Below are 20,210 nucleotides of genomic sequence, written 5' to 3'. Positions count from 1 at the left end.
AACCAAAGTTCAGGCTTTTGGTAGAGGACTGTCAACCTGGTGGCCTGGTAGAGGGGAAGCCAGAGCTCTCCTGCTGCTGCAACGCCGGCATCACCTCCTATAGTTCCCATCAGCCAAACCCAATCAAGAATGAGATGACCACAGAGTCTGGGTGACTTAGGTGCACAGAGCTGAGTGGAGATTGATAGGGAACTCGTCTGGAGGGGCAAACAAAAATACCCAGTGCAGCAAGGGAAAATGCTGGGCCTGCTGGTAATCATGCATAAGTATGATAAAGGGTGTTGTGTTGGAAATTTTACATCATTTGAGACAGCTTCAGAGACGTGGCAGAGGAGGTATAAGGAAAAGGATGGCTTGTAAGTAAATAGATGCCTGCAGGAAAGCACTATAACAATCCCTACATCATGAAAGCAGTGATGGGCAATTGTGAGTCAAACCTGGAAGAAACTAAATTTCTTTGACCAATTTTGTTTTACCTTTGCACTTTCCAGTTGCTTCTTTTGTTAGGATGTGCCATGATCCATTATTACAGTGGTTCTCTAACTTGCAATCAGAATCACCTGGAGAGCTTGTTGATGCACAGATTACTGCATTCTATCCCCAGAGTCTCAGGCTCAGTAGGTCTGGAGTAGGGACTGAGAATTGGCATTTCTATCAATTTCCCAGGTGATGCTGCTGTTGGTCCACAGAACTCACTAAAGCCCCTTCATCTTCTTGATGTCCCTGCCTACCTGTTCATTCAACTGTCTTCAGCTTCTCCTTTTGGTGAGTGCTGTCTGTGTACCACCAGGACGTGGCTGATACACTTGGGTACCTTTTGCCAATTATTATGGAGATAAATGTATTCACTGCATCACAAAATAAATGGCAAAGCGACACGGCATTGTAAACGGCACTTGGCACAGTCCTTATCCAGCCCATACGCCCACACACGCAGGGGCTGTGCAGCCCTCAGCCTTACTGGCAGGAGTTCATCTGTTGGGGTGGATCTCCTTGGCCGAGAAGTAGGAACAAAATCAGGAGTGTGTAGTGTCACAGTAGCTAAGGGAAGAGCACCACTCCGAGGGTGGTGGGGATTTATTTATTTATTTTGAGAATAAGTCTTGCTCTTGTCCCCCAGGCTGGAGTACACTGGCGTGATCTCGGCCCACTGCAACCTCTGCCTCCTGGGTTCAAGCGATTCTCCGGCCTCAGCCTCCCAAGTAGCTGGGATCACAGGGGCCTGCCACCATGCCTGGCCAATTTTTGTATTTTTAGTAGAGACGGGGTTTCACTGTGTTGGCCAGGCTGGTCTCAAACTCCTGACCTCAGGTGATCCACCCGCCTCGGCCTCCCAAAGTGCTGGGATTACAGGCGTGAGCCACCACAGCTGGCCAGTGGTGGGGATATTAACCGGACCCTGTCATGGGATGATGGTGACATAGTGCTGCAGGGAGTGGAGCTGCCTTGGCTGCATGTGGATGGTCACAATGAGGTGCTCATTTGTATAACTAACTAGGGTTCAGGGGGCTTGATGCATTCATACAAAAGAAATAATCAGCAAATAAATAAAATATCTCTTAAGTCAATATGCCATGATATGCTTGCTATTTCATTTGGGTTATTATGCCTGGTTACATTTTTGCTGTGCCATTTCATTTCTTAGTCCATCATTTCCCATAGCTTTTTGCTCTTGATATCCAAGCAGAGTCCAGAAGAACTTTCTGCTATGTCAGATTCATGGACTAAACAAGGACAAGTGATGACAGGAATACACTTGAAGTATTCCCAAACAGTCAAAAAAAATGCAAAACAAAATGAATTCTAGGCCACCCTTTTATTTAACAATTTGTCCAGTTAGATCATCTGTGAATCAATTAGGTACAGCATGATTAGAATAAGTTCTGCAGCTTCATGCATGAACAGTCTTTCAATATGACCTTTGGGCTACTACTAAATGTCAGTTATTAATACACGGATGTGTTAATTTAGAAGCTAATTGCCCTTTTTCATATATGAGACCAAAATATGCAGGTGCATCTCTGCTGATTTAAAGGAACTCTGGAATATATATATTTGCAGTTTTTATACATAGTGATTATTAAGGAAAGTAACATTTTAAAAAAACCCACCATCTCAAACTATGATGATCATTACAATTGATGTATTATGTTTTCCAATAAAGTTTCCATTTTTACTACAGAGAAAATGGAGTACAGTAGCAAAAAGAGCAAATCTCTCTGCTCTCATAATGAATTTTTAAGGTTCTAAAGCAGTGAAAAGGTTCAGACAGACTAATGATCTTTGGACTTCAGGATTTCAACCTCTGACTTGGATTTGTTCTGCAGATGGAACATTCTATGTTGGTGAGAGCAGGAACATGGAAAAGTTGACATTAATAATTTTTATACTTCTTAAAAGAAATACTGGGTGATCCCCAAACACAGGGGGGCATTAAGTATTTTTCTATGCAGCCACAACTTCACAACTTTCACGGCCTTATCTGTACATACTTGCTGAAGATTGAATGAATGAGTCCCAGTGCTTACGCTGGAGGAAACCTAATCTGATGCCCACTTATTCGTGATTTAATTACTTATTTGGCCAACATTTTCTGTGTGTCTCTCAATTAGGCACTATGTCAGTCTGTGTGGGATAAGTAGGTTCTATTACCAACAACCAGTTTAAGTAGAATGATAACCATGTCTTGATTTTGAATAAACCAATTTTTAAAAGTTACATAGTAATAAAACTCAATTACTAGGTAAAGGGAATAGGATAAAGTCACCAAGGGCAAGTGTGTCCTGTAGACGGTCTCACATCTTACTTTTCCCCTTCCTCTTTGCCAAGAAAATGCCTGCGTGTGGTCCAAACCCCTTCTACTGATGAACTACAGCTGGGCAGGATATACCCTGTCATTCCTATGCACCCATCCAGCAACTCATCCATCTACCCATTTACTCATTTGTTCACTCAGAAATTATTTATTTCTGTTCTAGGCTCTGAGAATGTACCAATGACTGAAATGAACAAAAATGCATGTCTCACGGGCCATAGATTTTAGTGGGAGTGACGGACAACAACAAAACAATAAATGAGTACAAATGTAACATGTTACAATTGGTAAGTGCTTGCTACAGACAATGTCTGTGTCCCTCTCACATTTGTATGTTGAGATTCTAACCCCTACTGTGATTGTAGGAGGAGGCAGGGCCTTTCGGAGGTAATTAGGTCAGGAGGGTGGAGCCTTGTCAGTGTTCCACCAAAGTTTTGGCTTTTCCTCCCACAGTGTGAAGATGTTACTGGAAAAACACGGGCTCCTCCAGGGACTATATTTCCAGGTCTCCTTCACGTCTGGATAGGAACATTTGACGAGTTTTGCCACTGTCATGTGCATAGAAGTGACGTGTGTCATTTTCTGGCTTAAGGAGTGGGTATAAATTTCCACCTACTCATTCCCCACCCATGTGCTGAACACACTGGACTCCACAGCCCGGAGTTGCTGGGGGAGCCAAAAGACGTGTTTTGTTTCTTAGTCACCACATGGAGGAAAGTTGCTCGTGAATCAGGAACACTCACATAAATAAGAAATACATTTCTATTTTGATAAGACACTGAAGTTTTTTTTGTTGTTGTTATAGAAACTATAGAATAATTATAACTAATTTTGCAGAGGAAAAAAGGATAGGAGTTGCTGAGGAAGAAGGGGCTTCGCAATCTTGTAGTGTGGTCAGAGAAGGTCTTCATGGGAAGGTGGCCTTCACTTGGAGACCTGAAGGCGGCAGAGAGCAAGGCATATGGGTATCTAGCGGGAAAGCCTTTTTAGAAAGAGGAAACCGAATGTGCAGTGTGTGTAAGTGGAAGTTTCTCGGGAACATCAAGCGAAGCGAAATGGCTGGAGTGGTGTAAACCAGAGGGGTAGGGGCTGAGGTCAGAGAGGTCATGGGGAAGTGTAAAGGATGCAGGGCATGATAGCACTGTAAGTACTTTGGTTTTTAATCGAAGGGTGACGGGAAGCCATCAGGGGCTCTAAACAGAAGAGCAGTGACATGATCCGTTTAGCTAACAGGATTACTTTGGTCGCTGCGTTGAGGATAAACCGAAGAGGGAAAAGCAGAGAAAAGAAGAACTGTTAAGATGCTATTCCAATAATCCAGTAAGACACGATGGGCGCTTGCACTGAGGCGCTGCAGCAGAGGTGGGGAGAAGTGGGTGGAGTGTGGGTACATCAAGAAGGTAGCGCCAAGAGTAACTGCTGATGGATTGGCTGGGCACGTGAGAGGAAGAGAGGAACCTGTCATGACACAGTGATGGTTTGCTTTGTGTGTCAAAGATCAGCTAGAATGTGGTGTCTGTTATTTGGCCAAACACTAGTCTAGAGGTTGTTATGAAGGTATTTTGTGGATGTGACTAACATGTGCAATCATTTGATTTTAAATAAAGCAGATTATTACCCTCTCTAATGTGGGTGGGCTTCTTCCAATCAGCTGAAGGCCTGAAGAGCAAGAAATGGCCATGGGCGGTGGCTCACACCTGTAATCCCAACACTTTGGGAGGCCGAGGCGGGTGGATCACGAGTTCAAGAGATCAAGACCATCCTGGCCAATATGGTGAAACCCTGTCTCTACTAAAAATACAAAATTAGCCGGATGTGGTGGCACGCACCTGTAGTCCCAGCTACTCGGGAGGCTGAGATAGGAGAATCGCCTGAATCTGGGATGTGGAGGTTGTAGTGAGCTGAGATCACATCATTGCACTCCAGCCTGAATGACAGAGCGAAACTGTCTCAAAAAAAACCAAAAAACAAAAACTGAAGTTTCTCTCTCTTTCCTTCCACATGTGTGTACATATATATACATGTATGTTTATGTATATTTATATATGGCATATGTGTATCTATATGTTAGCAGGGAAGAGGGAGCCCACGATGTAATTTCCCCCCAGTTGCCACAAGAATGGCCATGTCTGTTCAATTCCTGACTGTGGCCTCCTCTCTTGATTTGATCTATGTGAGGAAGCCCCGTCTCCCTCCAGAAGCCTATGCTATTACTGTGCTCTGCAACAATTTTTTTAAAGCTCTTGCACCCTTTCTTCCCAGGAAATCCTACAAAGAAAGCTAATATGTAAACATGTAAAAGGAGAAGCATCACCCTAGGTTGAAAGCGGAAGTGGTAGGCCTCTGTCCTATCTGTTCCTCTCCACTCCACCCTCTCAGCCCATAGAAGTTCCCAAGGTAGCTTGGTGGCTCTCTGAGCCCAGCTTGACAACCACTGTCTTATGGAAGAGATCCTCTGACAGGTTTCCTGGGGATCAGCATGGTGGAACCCACACTCCCCACTTAGGTAAGACCCTTGTTCACCTGCAGCCATCTCAGCTGAACTGCAGCGAATCCCTTTTTCCATGTCAAATTAGCATGTATTGGGATATCCTCTTTTCATCAACTTGATCATTCGATGGAAACTGACTACTGATGTCCCTCATGAAGATTGATTAGTCTTTCAATCCCATGTTTAGCTATGATTAGCACATCAGTGTTTATTTTCACTGCAGAGTAAATGCATACCAGGTATTTATACCTATAATGAGGTGAACTAGTATTAAGGTGCAATATTAATTATGTAATAATTACAATAAAAAATTTAGGTCACGAAAATTCATTTTTCAACTTTCTCGTTTGCTATGCCCGCATGCCTCCCTTCTGCTGCTGATGCAGAGAAAATTTTGACGGCTAAATCCCATTAGAATTAATGTGACTTACTCCTGTAAATCTCAAGGGGACAAATAAGAAATAAACAACCTCATGTTTTCAGAGATAGGTCTCACAATATTTATATAAGTCTGTTAGTAGAATACATATATTTTTCTCTTTCCTGCTTCTTATGAAATCCCCTAGCAGATGAAAAAAAGGGTGAAGATGAATATAGAGTATGTTTTTCATAAAAGTGTATACGGAGGATGCTTACTTCAAAATAATACAAGTAATTTATTAATTAATTTCAAAAACTAAAATGAAAAATGCTGTGAAAACTCAGATTTTATGCTAACCAAAAAATTGTAAACAGCCACGACTGAATTGTTTTGTGAAAATCAGAGCAGATTCTAGTAGCTTGATTCATTAAGGAAATGGCTATATTAATTTAAAGTGATTGAAATTTTGATGTAAATTATGGATCATCCATTAGAGATAAGCAGAGGCTTTTAGCACATTAATCTGAAAGAGCAATAGAGGGAGATCTTATTTCCTACAAGAGAGACTTAAAATATATGTATCCTTAGTTACCTCACAACAGTAAGATCAATCACTTGAGGCATATGGTACTAGCAATACAAAATACATAGGAAAACTGATAACATATGGTTTGCATTTGCAAGGTATGCTGTGTGAAAAAAAAGTGTTTCACACCTTTCCCCTTGATGATAAATGGCTATAAAGGAAATAAAGTCTCTTGCAAAAAAAAAAAAAAAAAAAGAATTAAAAAAGTAAGACTCAAACAGATGTGTACATTGAAAATGGATCTGTTGGAGAGGCTGAATTTTTTTCAAACGATTGAAGAAAGAATGCCACATTTATGACTTCAATATTTCTTACACAGGGCGAACTTTCAAGGAGCAAATGGCAAATGTTTACAGCCCCATAAGGCCAAGAACGATAAAAGGGAAATTTACAGTTGGCAAAGGCAAATATGTAAATAAGGTTTATAGCTCCTCCAAACATCAGGTATTCTAAATTGTGACAAGACAGAATATTTGTTACCTGCATGAGACCATTGCCAAATGCTACCTACCATCGATGTGTTAGACTGAGGCTACGGATGTGGCTGAACTGAAGATGGAAGTCACATTTTTCTCTTAAGAGCAAACCGCAAATATGGAAGAAGGTGAAAGAGGAGATCTTCTTCCCTTTCCCTGAAAAAAATGGCAGCATGACCTTAAATAAAAAATGGCATATTGCATAAAGGAATTGATAAAGAACATTAGTTTGTTGCCTTGCAGGGGTTGACACGAATCTATTTAGTGTCCTGGTTGTGTGGGGGAACAAACGCTGCTGAACCAAATTTATGTCCCGTGTGCTAAAGCACTCCAGGCATAAATTCCCAAAACCCATTTCAGAGCATCTTTGGAATCTTTTGAGAAAAAGGACATATTAGTAGTGCCTTCAGACATCAGTTCTGAGTCTATAGAACCCCTTTATTCTTAAATATCTCCAAGTAGTCATAACCCTCAGGCTCTGGACGAAATCAGATGAAGAGACATCTTTTAGATTAGTTCTGGACTATAACAATTTGATAATTCTCATTTAAGGCTCAGGGTCATTTAGAATATTCTCTGGAAAAGCACCAGAGACCATAATATTTCTGGAAGCATCCTCTGCGTTTCGGAGTGTGACTCCTCCAGGGACCTATTTGCACCTGACTACAAATAAAGAAAAAATTCAATGTCAGGTGCACTATTACCCAAATATACAAGTCCTCTTGTATACCGCAGCTCATTTGCACCAGATGATCTAGAATAGCTGCTAAAATAATTATCTACCCTCCCTTTCAACCACAGACTACATAAGCTTTCTTATCTTTGGTGGTTTTCCTCGGATAATTTGCCTTTGAATTTTAAAATACTGATCAACAAATCAACAGCATTTCCTGTGAGGCTACCGTTGCAAGTTTGTTGCTGAGGGAATTCACAGAGCAATAACTGCATAGCCTTTGTCCTCAACAACCGTATGAGATTAATATCCGTATGGTGTAAGTGGATTGGGCTCCTTCTGAAGTTTCCCCCAGGGAAGAGAAATTGGGCTACTTCTGGAAGGATAACCAAATTTCAGACAGGAATCTGAGAGCATGTTTGTCATGGAGAAAATCCTCACCTAAAGTTGCTATTTTAGCACTCTACTTCTCCTTTAAGTCAAGGAAACAGAACAAACCCAAGACGACACTTATTTTAATTGGTTATAGGACTACTACTGAAGATTTATTCTACTGAAGTTGTTTCGTTTGGTTTGAGATTTCCAACTCAAAAGGGTGCCCACTGTGGCTCATGCCGTCATATTCTTAACGGCCTCCTTTAAAATGGAAGGGCTCTCAGTAAGGCAACATTCAGGGAATCAGGGAGGTAAAGTCCAAGAATGCAAACAACCCAAGGATGTTATACTACCCCAGATAAACATCTACTAACATGGGGATCATGTGTGATTCACACTGAGGCAGAAACTAGATCCCAGGAAGAAGATCAAGCTAAAAATCATGTTATTCATGTATAACTTCTACAAAAAGATTCTGGCTTTCCATTACGATATAGATCTCCTCTCATTTTCCCATATTTCTGTGCACTGGAATCCTGGAATCAGAATATCGAAAACTGGTTTACTTAATATTTGCAAAGCTCTTTTAAAAGCTTGGTGTAGAATGCAGGAGTCTATTTTTATGATGGAATATATGCCCACATGATATGGTTTGGCTCTGTGTCCCCACCCACATTTCATCTGGAATTTTAATCCCCCAATGTCAGGGGAGGGACCTGGTGGGAGGTGATTGGATCATGGAGGTGGATTTCCTCCATGCTGTTCTTGTGATAGTGAGTTAGTTCTCACGAGATATGACGGTTTAAAAGTGTGGCACTTCCCCACTCCACTCTCTCTCTCCTGCCACCATGTAAGACGTGCCTGCCTTCCCTTTGCCTTCTGCTATGATTTCCTGAGGCCTCCCCAGCCATGTAGAACTGTGAGTCAATTAAACCTCTTTTCTTCATAAATTACCCTGTCTCCGGTAGTTCTTTATAGCAGTGTGAAAACAGACTAATACACCACACCTCACACTCAGCTAGTGGTAACAACCTGGATTTGTGTAGTAGCAATAGGTTTATCTTACTCTAAAAAACTCATGGCATTTTTTGTGCTCTAATGATTTTAGAAATTGCTTTTCTCCTCAGCTCCTGCATGACCATAAATGATAGGCTGTGAAAAACAGTCACAAAGTTGATACACTAGAGCAGTGAATGCCACACTTTTGGCAATGCACTTGTGGTAGGCAACCTTTGGAAATGACCCACAAGATTCCTGCCCCTGGTGTACATGCCCTGTGTAATCCTATTCCTTTGACTTAGTGGGACTCTGAATATGATGATTAGATCATTTTGTATAGCAAAGGTGGAGGGATTCACAGATGCATTTAAGGTCACCAAGTCAGCTGACTTTGAATTGATAAAAAAGAAGAATGTCTTGGGTGGGCCTGGTCTAATCAGATGAGCCTTTAAAAAGAACTGGGCCAGGGCTGGGCACAGTGGCTCATGCCTGTAATCTGAGCACTTTGGGAGGCTGAGGCAGGTGGATCATGAGGTCAGGAGTTCAAGACCAGCCTGGCCAAGATGGTGAAACCCTGCCTCTACTAAAAATACAAAATTAGCCACCCATGGTGGTGGGGCATGCCTGTAATCTCAGCTACTCAGTAGGCTGAGGCAGGAGAATCGCTTGAACCTGGGAGGCGGAGGTTACGGTGAGCCAAGATTGTGCCATTGCACTCCTGCCTGGGCAACAAAAGAGAAACTTCGTCTAAAAAAAAAAACAAAAAAGAACTGGGTCCTTCCTAAAATAAGAGATTGGTACTATGAGAGAGCCTATGGTGGAGATTAACAAGGAGCTGAGATCAGCCTCTGGGAGCTAAAAGTGGTCTCCAGCTAACAGACATCAGGATGCTGGACTGAGGACTGAGGTCCTACAACGACAAAAAGATGGACTCTGCCAACAATCTGGGGGAGCTTGCAAGTAGTTGTTTCCCAGTTAAGTCTGTAGATGAGGACACAGCTGGCTAACTCTTTGATTTCAACCTATTGATACCGCAATCAGAGAACCCAGCTCACTTATGCTCAGGAATCTGCCCTGAGTTCACAAAACTGTAAGCCAATAAGTGGGTATGTTTCGAGCTGTTATGTTTGTAGAATTTTGTTATGCAGCAATAGAAAATGAACATGGCACCCCATCAATAAAAAATGTGTGCACACCAAGCGGACCTAATAGACGTCTACAGAACTCTCCACCCCAAATCAACAGAATATACATTCTTCTCAGCACCACATCACACTTATTCTAAAATTGACCACATAGATGGAGGTAAAGCACTCCTCAGCAATGTAAAATAACAGAAATTTTAACAAACTGTTTCTCAGACCGCAGTGCAATCAAACTAGAACTCAGGATTAAGAAACTCACTCAAAACCGCTCAACTGCATGGAAACTGAACAACCTGCTCCTGAATGACTACTGGGTACATAACGAAATGAAGGCAGAAATAAAGATGTTCTTTGAAACCAATGAGAACAAAGACACAACATACCAGAATCTCTGGGACACATTTAAAGCAGTGTGTAGAGGGAAATTTATAGCACTAAATGCCCACAAGAGTAAGCAGGAAAGAGCTAAAATCGACACCCTAACATCACAATTAAAAGAACTACAGAAGCAAGAGCAAACACATTCAAAAGCTAGCGGAAGGCAATAAATAACTAAAATCAGAGAAGAACTGAAGGAGATAGAGACACAAAAAAACCCTTCAAAAAATCAATGAATCCAGGAGCTGGTTTTTTGAAAAGATCAACACAATTGATAGACCACTAGCAAGATTAATAAAGATGTAAAGAGAGAAGAATCAAATAGACACAATAAAAAATGGTAAAGGGGATATCACCACTGATCCCACAGAAATACAAGCTACCATCAGAGACTACTATAAACACCTCTATGCAAATGAACTAGAAAATCCAGAAGAAATGGATAAATTCCTCGACACATACACCCTCCAAAGACTAAACCAGGAAGAAGTTGAATCTCTGAATAGACCAATAACAGGCTCTGAAGTTGAGGCAATAATTAATAGCCTACCAACCAAAAAAAGTCCAGGACCAGACGGACTCACAGCCGAATTCTATCAGAGGTACAAGGAGGAGCTGGTACCATTCCTTCTGAAACTATTCCAATCAACAGAAAAAGAGGGAATGCTCCCTAACTCATTTTATGAGGTCGGCATCATCCTGATAGCAAAGCCTTGCAGGGATACAACAAAAAAAAGAGAATTTTAGACCAATATCCCTGATGAACATCGATGCAAAAATCCTCAATAAAATACTGGCAAACCGAATCCAGCAGCACATCAAAAAGCTTATCCACCATGATCAAGTGGGCTTCATCCCTGGGATGCAAGGCTGGTTCAACATATGCAAATCAATAAACGTAATCCAGCATATAAACAGAACCAAAGACAAAAACCACGTGATTTTCTCAATAGATGCAGAAAAGGCCTTTGACAAAATTCAACAGCCCTTCATGCTAAAAACTCTCAATAAATTAGGTATTGATGGACGTATCTCAAAATAATAAGAGCTATTTATGACAAACCCACAGCCAATATTATACTGAATGGGCAAAAACTGGAAGCATTCCCTTTGAAAACTGGCACAAGACAGGGATGCGCTCTCTCACCACTCCTATTCAACACAGTGTCGGAAGTTCTGGCCAGGGCAATCAGGCAGGAGAAAGAAATAAAGGGTATTCAATTAGGAAAAGAGGAAGTCAAATTGGCCCTGTTTGCAGATGACATGACTGTATATTTAGAAAATCCCATTGTCTCAGCCCAAAATCTCCTTATAGCTGATAAGCAACTTCAGCAAAGTCTCAGGATACAAAATCAATGTGCAAAAATCACAAGCATTCCTATACACAAATAACAGACAAACAGAGAGCCAAATCATGAGTGAACTCCCATTCACAATTGCTTCAAAGAGAATAAAATACCCAGGAATCCAACTTACAAGGGATGTGAAGGACCTCTTCAAGGAGAACTACAAACCACTGCTAAGCAAAATAAAAGAAGATACAAAGAAATGGAAGACCATTCTATGCTCATGGGTAGGAAGAATCAATATCGTGAAAATGGCCATACTGCCCAAGGTAATTTATAGATTCAATGCCATCCCCATCAAGCTACCAAAGACTTTCTTCACAGAATTGGAAAAAAAACACTTTAAAGTTCATATGGAACCAAAAAAGAGGCCGCACTGCCAAGTCAATCCTAAGCCAAAAGAACAAAGATGGAGGCATCACGCTACCTGACTTCAAACTATACTACAAGGCTACAGGAACCAAAACAGCATGGTACTGGTACCAAAACAGAGATATAGACCAATGGAACAGAACAGAGCCCTCAGAAATAATACCACACATCTACAACCATCTGATCTTCAACAAACCCGACAAAAACAAGCAATGGGGAAAGGATTCCCTATTTAATAAGTGGTGCTGGGAAAACTGGCTAGCCATATGTAGAAAGCTGAAACTGGATCCCTTCCTTACACCTTATACAAAAATTAATTCAAGATGGATTAAGGACTTAAATGTCAGACCTAAAACCATAAAAACCCTAGAAGAAAACCTAGGCAATACCATTCAGGACATAGGCATGGGCAAGGACTTCATGTCTAAAACACCAAAAGCAATGGCAACAAAACCCAAAATTGACAAATGGGATCTAATTAAACTAAAGAACTTCTGCACAGCAAAAGAAACTACCATCAGAGTGAACAGGCAACCTACAGAATGGGAGAAAATATTTGCGATCTACTCATCTGACAAAGGGCTAATATCCAGAATCTACAAAGAACTCAAACAAATTTACAAGAAAAAAACAACCCCATCAAAAAGTGGGCCAAGGATAGGAACAGACACTTCTCAAAAGAAGACATTTATGCAGCCAAAAGACACATGAAAAAATGCTCATCATCACTGGCCATCAGAGAAACGCAAATCAAAACCACAATGAGATACCATCTCACACCAGTTAGTATGGTGATCATTAAAAAGTCAGGAAACAACAGGTGCTGGAGAGGATGTGGAGAAATAGGAACACTTTTACACTGTTGGTGGGACTGTAAACTAGTTCAACCATTGTGGAAGACAGTGCAGGGATTCCTCAAGGATCTAGAACTAGAAATACCATTTGACCCAGCCATCCCCTTACTGGGCATATACCCAAAGGATTATAAATCATGCTGCCATAATGGCACATGCACACTTAATGTTTATTGCGGTACTATTCACAATAGCAAAGACTTGGAACCAACCCAAATGTCCATCAATGATAGACCGGATTAAGAAAATGTGGCTCATATACATCATGGAATACTATGCAGCCATAAAAAAGGATAACTTCATGTCCTTTGTAGGGACATGGATGAAGCTGGAAACCATCATTCTCAGCAAACTATTGCAAGAACAAAAAACCAAACACCGCATGTTCTCACTCATAGGTGGGAATTGAATAATGAGAACAACTGGACACAGGAAGGGGAACATCACACACTGGGGCCTGTCATGGGGTGGGGGTAGGGGGTAGGTAAAACATTAGGAGATATACCTAATGTAAATGACGAGTTAATGTGTGCAGCACAGCAACATGGCACACGTATACATATGTAACAAACCTGCACATTGTGCACATGTACCCTAGAACTTAAGTATAATAAAAATAAAAAGAAATGTGTGCACACTTACTTCCCTTTGTGAGTATTTATAGCATATTATTATCAATCTCAACATCAAACATTAAAAGAGCTTGTTTTCTTATACTTTTAGTAAAATACTGTGTATAGCAGGTCTAATATTTTCTTTCTGCACCCCATATATTAAGCACCCCTCAGGTGAAAACACCCCAATTTGTAAACTTCTCACTGCCTTAGAAGATTAGGAATGTGGGCTCTCCTTAGAAAATGTCTTGTGGTTGGCCCTTCTTAATTAGCCACTAGAGTCAGATAAGATCTCCATGTTTCTCCTGCAGGGAAACCTTGTTAACGCCTTGTCTTCCACTCACCCCACATTTATTTTGTCATAAAGTCCTGGAGATTCAGCCATCTGTCTCATTCTAGGCACCAGCATCTTTCCCTTAGATTCTATACAATAGACCTGTTCTGCTTCTATCTTGCCCTGGTCCAATTATCTATTTTTCACGCAACACTTAGAGCGATCTTTAAATGCATCTCTGATTATGTCACTTTCTCGTTCAAATCTTTTCCAAATCCAAACCCGTTTGAATGGCCCCTGATATGGTTGACATATTTGTTTCCTTCAAATCCCATGTTGAAATGTGACTCCCCATGTTGGAGTCTGGGCTGAGTGGCAGGTGTTGGATCACAGGGGCAGATCCCTCACGAATGGCTGAGCTCCATTCCCATGGTAATGAGTGAGTTCTTGCTCTGAGTTCTCATGAGATCTGGTTGTTTAAAAGAGCGTGGCATCTCCCCTCCCCGCCCCCTTGCTGTGCTCTCACAATGTAACATGCAGGCTCCACTTCCCCTTCCGCCATGATTGTAACTTTCCTGGAACCCTCATCAGAAGCAGATGCTGGAGCCATGCTTGTGCAGCCTGCAGAACCATGAGCCAATGCAACCTCTTTTCTTTATAAATGATCTTAGACTAATTTTCTTATATAAATTAGTCTCAGGTATCCCTTAATAGCAACGCAAAAATGGACCAACACAGTCCCTATCCACCTTCCTGTCCTCAGCTCCTGTCCCTCCCATCTGGCACCATGCCCTCCAGCCACACTGGCCTTTTCTTGCTCTTTAATCATGCTGTGCTGTTCCTGCATGAGGGCCTTCATGCACAGTGTCCCCTCTGCCACCGCAGCCTTCTTCCAGCCTAGTCTTGCTCCGCCCTCCTGATCCTTCAATTTACCCAATTGTGGCAGAACCAGGTGAGATCATTTGCCAAATAAGCTCAGTTGGCAAAGTTTTGCAAAGTTAGCTTTGGCTTCCTATTTCTCTATCACATGACATCATAGAAAAACTGATGAGTTTTTCTATTTCTATGAGATTGGTTATTCACATTGCCATTGCCTGTGCAGACCTTGGCAAATAAATGTCCACAGTAAAAATCCCTGAAATGGGTGACATTGGCCACTGCTTATATTGGTGTAGAGGGTTTTATTCCCACTCTACTTTGACTGAATTTTCAAGATATACAATATTATTATTATTATTGTTATTATTATTATTTTTTTTTGAGACAGAGTCTTGCTCTGTCGCCCAGGCTGGAGTGCAGTGGCACCATCTCGGCTCACTGCAAGCTCTGCCTCCTGGGTTCACGCCATTCTCCTTCTTCAGTCTCCCGAGTGGCTGGGACTACAGGCGCCTGCCGCCACACCCGGCTAATTTTTTTTGTATTTCTAGTAGAGACGGGGTTTCATCGTGTTAGCCAGGATGGTCTCAATCTCTTGACCTCGTGATCAGCATGCCTTGGCCTCCAAAAGTGCTGGGATTACAGGCATGAGCCACTGCGCCCGGCAGTATACAATATTATTTCAAAAGGAAAACAATCAGAGACTGCGAAGTGCAGGTGGCTCACGTGCTCCGCAAGCAGGCAGAGATAGTTGCTGGGATGGAGTCCTCTGCTGATGGGCAGGACGTAGCAGAACAATCAAGGGAAAAATCTCTGCACTTCTCACAAATGGAAAATGCATTTTTCAGTTATTTTCCAGACTGCAATCCATTTGTAACAGAAGCAAACCTGTTGAGAAATCTCTGGAATATCATGCTATATTTTCTGGGCTGGTTATGCATTCTCAAGGCGGACCCCAAAGCCAGGGATCATCCCATCCTCTGCAGGCGTGGTAGACTGTTTGCAAAGGTAGACACAGCACTTCCTCCCATCCCTGGATCCCACTCTTCTGCCATGTGAAGGTGCTGCTTCTCCCATCAAAAGTCTATTTCCGCTACCCTTGAACAGGATGGGCCCTGTACTGGATTTGGTGAACAAAACGCAGGGAAAGTGAAGTTGTATGACATATTAGCTTCTCCTCAAGAAGGCTTTCGGCTTTCACTCTTTCCCTCTTGTTGCTCTGAGATTACTGTATAAAGTGTCCTGGGTTGGACTCCTTGAGGAAGAAAGATCCTTGAGGAGAAAGCAAGCCAGGCACCAGCCAAGATCAACTACCAGAGAGGTGAGTGAGCCCATGGTGGACCTTCCAACCTTTCCTGCACCACACAACTGCAACTGTGTGAATGAGCTCAGCAGATCCAAGAGAAGAATCATCAGCTAAGCCCAACCCAAACTGCAGAACTGTGGGCAAGTCAATTGTGCTTATTTTAATTACTAAGTTTTGAGGTGGTTCATTATGCAGCAATAGATGGCTAGGGAGAAAGCATAGAGAAAATCCACATCTGAGTGCCAGCCAATGTTACCGTGGCTTTATTCCTCTTAATTTTATAAAATCACTTTATGTGGTGTTCTTTGCTTCTTTCATAATAATGATCTTGGATTTGTTACATGTCTTCTGGTCCTATCAGAGAAAGTGAGCTCATAAACATAGCACAAGAAATGAACAAAGAAGAGGTCAGTTATTGTTGCAGTCATGAGGCTGTTTACTAATTTTTTTCCACTTCTCTCCCTTCCAGGACATGTAAAACATCTCTTCCTTGCTTCTTTAAGGGTAGATGTGGCCATGGGATTTACTTCGGCCATTGAAATTTGAGTTGGAAGCCTTAAGAGCCAGTGCGTGGTTGGACAGCTTTCGCCTTTCTCTTTTCATTTGCCAGCGAGTGGCGATGCTGGGGACAGCACTTATTCCATCAGCCTGTATTCTGGAGCGAGGACAAGTCAAACAGAGCCTCCAGCTGACCTGAGATGAACTTGTAGCCAGAGGGTTTGGGGTGTCTCTTGCTGTGGTGCAACCTCGCCCATCTTGTGGGATACAGATGTTCATATAGTAGACGCTAGGCTGGTTATGTGACAGATACTTACTTTGTGAAAAGTTCTCCTCCCACACCCAACAAATTTGCTCAGAATATCAAAAAGGCAATTTCACTCCTCTTTAAATGCTTGTGCTCAAAAAGGAGCAAGGACAAGGCCTTTGTTGAGAAGAAGAAAAGAACACCACCAAATCACAGGTATTCTATCACTATATCCTATGAAATAGCACATCAATATTAAGACTGTAGACATTTTCTATGCATCATATTTCACTTTTAAGCTCATTTTGTGTCTCAAACATAAAATTGCTTAATATCTGAATGAAGATTTCTATAGCTCAGAGCCATCAAAACACTGCTTGTACATGAACTCCTCTTGCTGATAGCTTGATATTTTAATTTCCAATGAATATAACAACTGATTGTTTACGAAGCATAAGAAAGCCTATAGCACTGAATAATTTTAGCGGCAGCTCCTACACATGAGATGGTGACTTTAAACAATGATTTCACAGATTTTTAAGAATGATTTTCATATCAAGTGTCTCAATAAAGAGGCCGAGTTTCATGAGTCATTGCCTTGACGTTGGTAACAGAAGTTGATAATGGAATAATTTCTCAAACATGACAAAGAATAAATACTTGATTGTTCACACAGGCAAAAGTTAGCCTAACTCTCCTCCTTAGTACTTCAGCATTTTCACCTCCTCCTGTGATAGACCTGCTCACACTGTCCTGTGAAGTAAGCCTGTTCCTCCACTTGACTGTGGGAACTTTACAGGGTATAGCACACTGCTTATGCTGGTAAGGACTTTACACGTAGTAATTCACTTAATCATATCATGAGCCTATGAGGTAGGTATTAATTATTTTCCCCATTTTACAGCTGAGGCACAGAGAGGTTAAGTAACTTATCTAATGTCGCACGGCTTGTAAAGAGCAAAACTGCCATTCGAGCCCAGGTCTGATGGAATACTGATCCTGAATTTTTTGTCAACTTTGTGTGATTTAAATGGCATCCAAAAAGTTTTTTTTTAATTCGAACTTATTTCCACAGCAATTTATGTCCCATAGATTTGTCTGAAAAGTTACTATTAGAAATGAATTCCTTAGGGTTTATCAATGTCCCTTCTACAAGTTATTTCTAAAAAATGTAATGCCACCGGAAGGGTAACGCATGGCATTGTTAATGTGTATTAAGTTAGTAATGTGTGTACCTCAGTTAAGAATTAATTCTGGGAGAGTTAGAGGCATAATGACTTCACTCGGTACCTAAAAACCAGGCATTCAATAAAAATTGGAAAGTACCAGAGAAAGGGAATGTGGAAGGTTGGGCACCAAAGGCCAAGGCAAACCTAATTTATATGCCCATTATCTCAGGGCTTGTTCTATTTCAATGAAGCCCTCCCGTCTCATACAAAAGCCATGTTATCATATTTATTTATTTATTTTTGAGACGGAGTCTTGCTCTGTTGCCCAGGTTGGGGTACAGTGGCGCGATCTCAGCTCACTGCAACCTCCATTTCCTGGGTTCAAGCGATTCTCCTGCCTCAACCTCCCGAGTAGCTGACATTACACGCTCTTGCCACCATACTCGGCTAATTTTTGTATTTTTATTAGAGACAGGGTTTCACCAAGTTGGCCATGCTGGTCTGAAACTCCTGACCTCAGGTGATTCACCTGCCTCAGCCTCCCAAAGTGCTGGTATTACAGGTGCAAGCCACTGTGCCTGGCCTAGTTATAGTATTTATTATAAGAAGAAGGTTTCAAGAAACAGGTTTTGACTCTTGGTATTTTACTGCTTAATTGATTGCCAGTATTGTGTTTGGTGAGTACAATCCAAGAGCTGCAAGGGTGAGAGGAAAGGGAAACGAGGCAGGAAAGAGGCAGTGGGGCACACATAGCGATGCATGACCTAGCTGACCACTGCTTCCTGGATGCTCTCTAGATGACCAGTTGACCATGTAGGACATCTCAGGACTGACTAATACAGAGAAATCACTATCTTGGAAAAGTCCATCAGACAGAGGATTAATCCTGTGTCTAACATTGCCCAAAGTTTACATCAGAGGAGCTAGTATTACCAGTATGTGATATTTTAAATCTGGCTAAATGCTTGGTTTTTTAGATTTTACCGGAAGTTATTGTGTGCGTATGTCAGGTGAATTAACTTGGAAGGTATCACAGGCTCGATTTGAACTGTGAGAAAGAGAATGATACTCGCCTTTCATTCTCATTCTCACAGTTCAGGGCCACCTCCCAGCTGCTTAAGCTTTGTAACCATGACACACAGGGAACCTCTTACCTTTGCATCTCAGTTTAGTACAAACTTAGGAGTTCCTTGCTCAGGTAGTGGGAGTTCACTTCCCTGTGGTTGGATCTTTTCCCTTCTTGACTCCACGAACCTATCTTTAATATCCATCCACTTATAAATGATACAATTCTGACTTCTGAGAATATTGGAGGGATGAGGCAACATACAGAATATATTAAATGATTTTTTTGTGTGTGTGAGACCCTGGACAGAAATTGTAAAAGGAGTTATCGACCTCTTGAGGTTTTCACTGTCAGGAGGCTATTCGTAAAAGCACACTGCTTACGATGGCAGAGATCTAAGGTAGCCAGCCAGAGGGTAATTAAAGTTAATTGATATGTTATTGTTCTCTGTATTATAGCATTAAAATATGGGAAAAATGAGTAGTTAACTCGTCAAATTGCTCTTCTATGTAATAAATCTGAAAACAAATAAAGATATAGTTATGAAAAAAGTATTAAACAAATATTTTTCTTGACCTTGTCCTAAGTAAGCAGCTGTCTCCCTTAGCAGTGTGGTAAGGCATGAAGAAAATCATTCATTTAACATGCACTTTACAGGGTGCAGATTTACTTAAAATGGTGGTTTCTGATTATGAAAGAATCATTAAGTTGAAGGACTCTTGAGTCTTTTGTTAATAATTTCATCCACATTCCAGTTCAATCATAATTTCTTAACTATATCAGCAATTTGACCTCTTTGATTATTGTCAACTGGGTTCCCTTTTTCTTCTTTGCTATTCCTTCTATCTCCTCTGCTTGCACATAATGAGAAAAAACTAGTTAAAATGTTTCATTGTAAGTCTGTGCCATAGAGTTAGCTAAATGCAGAAGTCAAGAGGACAGCTGAATTCTATTTGTGTTACAGGTATGACATCCATCCATAGATCATGAAGGAATTCTCAAACATTTTTTGTTTTCCATAAGTGGTAACATTAAAAAATTCTATTTGAGAAATCAGTAAAATAGTTAGGATACATAATAACAGTTCACATTTACAGAAATCACATGTCCCAGGCACACATTCCTTATTTTTAATTCCTGCAATTTAGGTATTGTCATTTTTTTCTACTTAACAAATAATGAAATCAACTCAGACATTATGTTGCTATTAACTATTTCTTTCCTCCTCTTTTTCTTTTTTTTTTTTTTTAAGGACTCTGTGAGAATCTTTTCTCCTCACGTAGGCTTTC

At 41.2% G+C, this 20,210-nt stretch overlaps 1 protein-coding gene across 7 annotated transcripts in view, besides 1 other annotated feature; it reads right to left on the bottom strand.

The window, feature by feature from the left end:
• Positions 1–20,210, bottom strand: part of TENM3 (teneurin transmembrane protein 3) — a 1,355,412-nt gene that overhangs the window by 1,162,192 nt on the left and 173,010 nt on the right. The window contains exon 1 of one of the 7 annotated variants that reach the window (XM_047415933.1): positions 6,765–8,193. The exons of the other annotated variants lie outside the window; for them this stretch is intronic. The gene's annotated coding sequence lies outside the window, so the exon portion shown is untranslated. Of the gene's footprint in view, positions 1–6,764; positions 8,194–20,210 lie in introns of those variants that run through there. 7 annotated transcript variants of the gene reach the window in all.
• Positions 16,007–17,206: an enhancer, noted in NCBI's record as "CDK7 strongly-dependent group 2 enhancer chr4:182544780-182545979 (GRCh37/hg19 assembly coordinates)". NCBI's record gives its function as "activates an origin of replication core promoter dependent on BRD2, BRD4, P300/CBP, MED14 and CDK7 cofactors, with strong dependence on CDK7, by STARR-seq in HCT116 cells {active_cell/tissue: HCT116}" and the evidence as "EXISTENCE:reporter gene assay evidence [ECO:0000049][PMID:35650434]".

Source organism: Homo sapiens, chromosome 4 (assembly GCF_000001405.40).
Source record: "Homo sapiens chromosome 4, GRCh38.p14 Primary Assembly".
In the NCBI taxonomy this organism is placed as follows: domain Eukaryota; kingdom Metazoa; phylum Chordata; class Mammalia; order Primates; family Hominidae; genus Homo; species Homo sapiens.
Note: the sequence above shows the minus strand (reverse complement) of the source record. Positions and strands in the feature narration are given on the sequence as shown.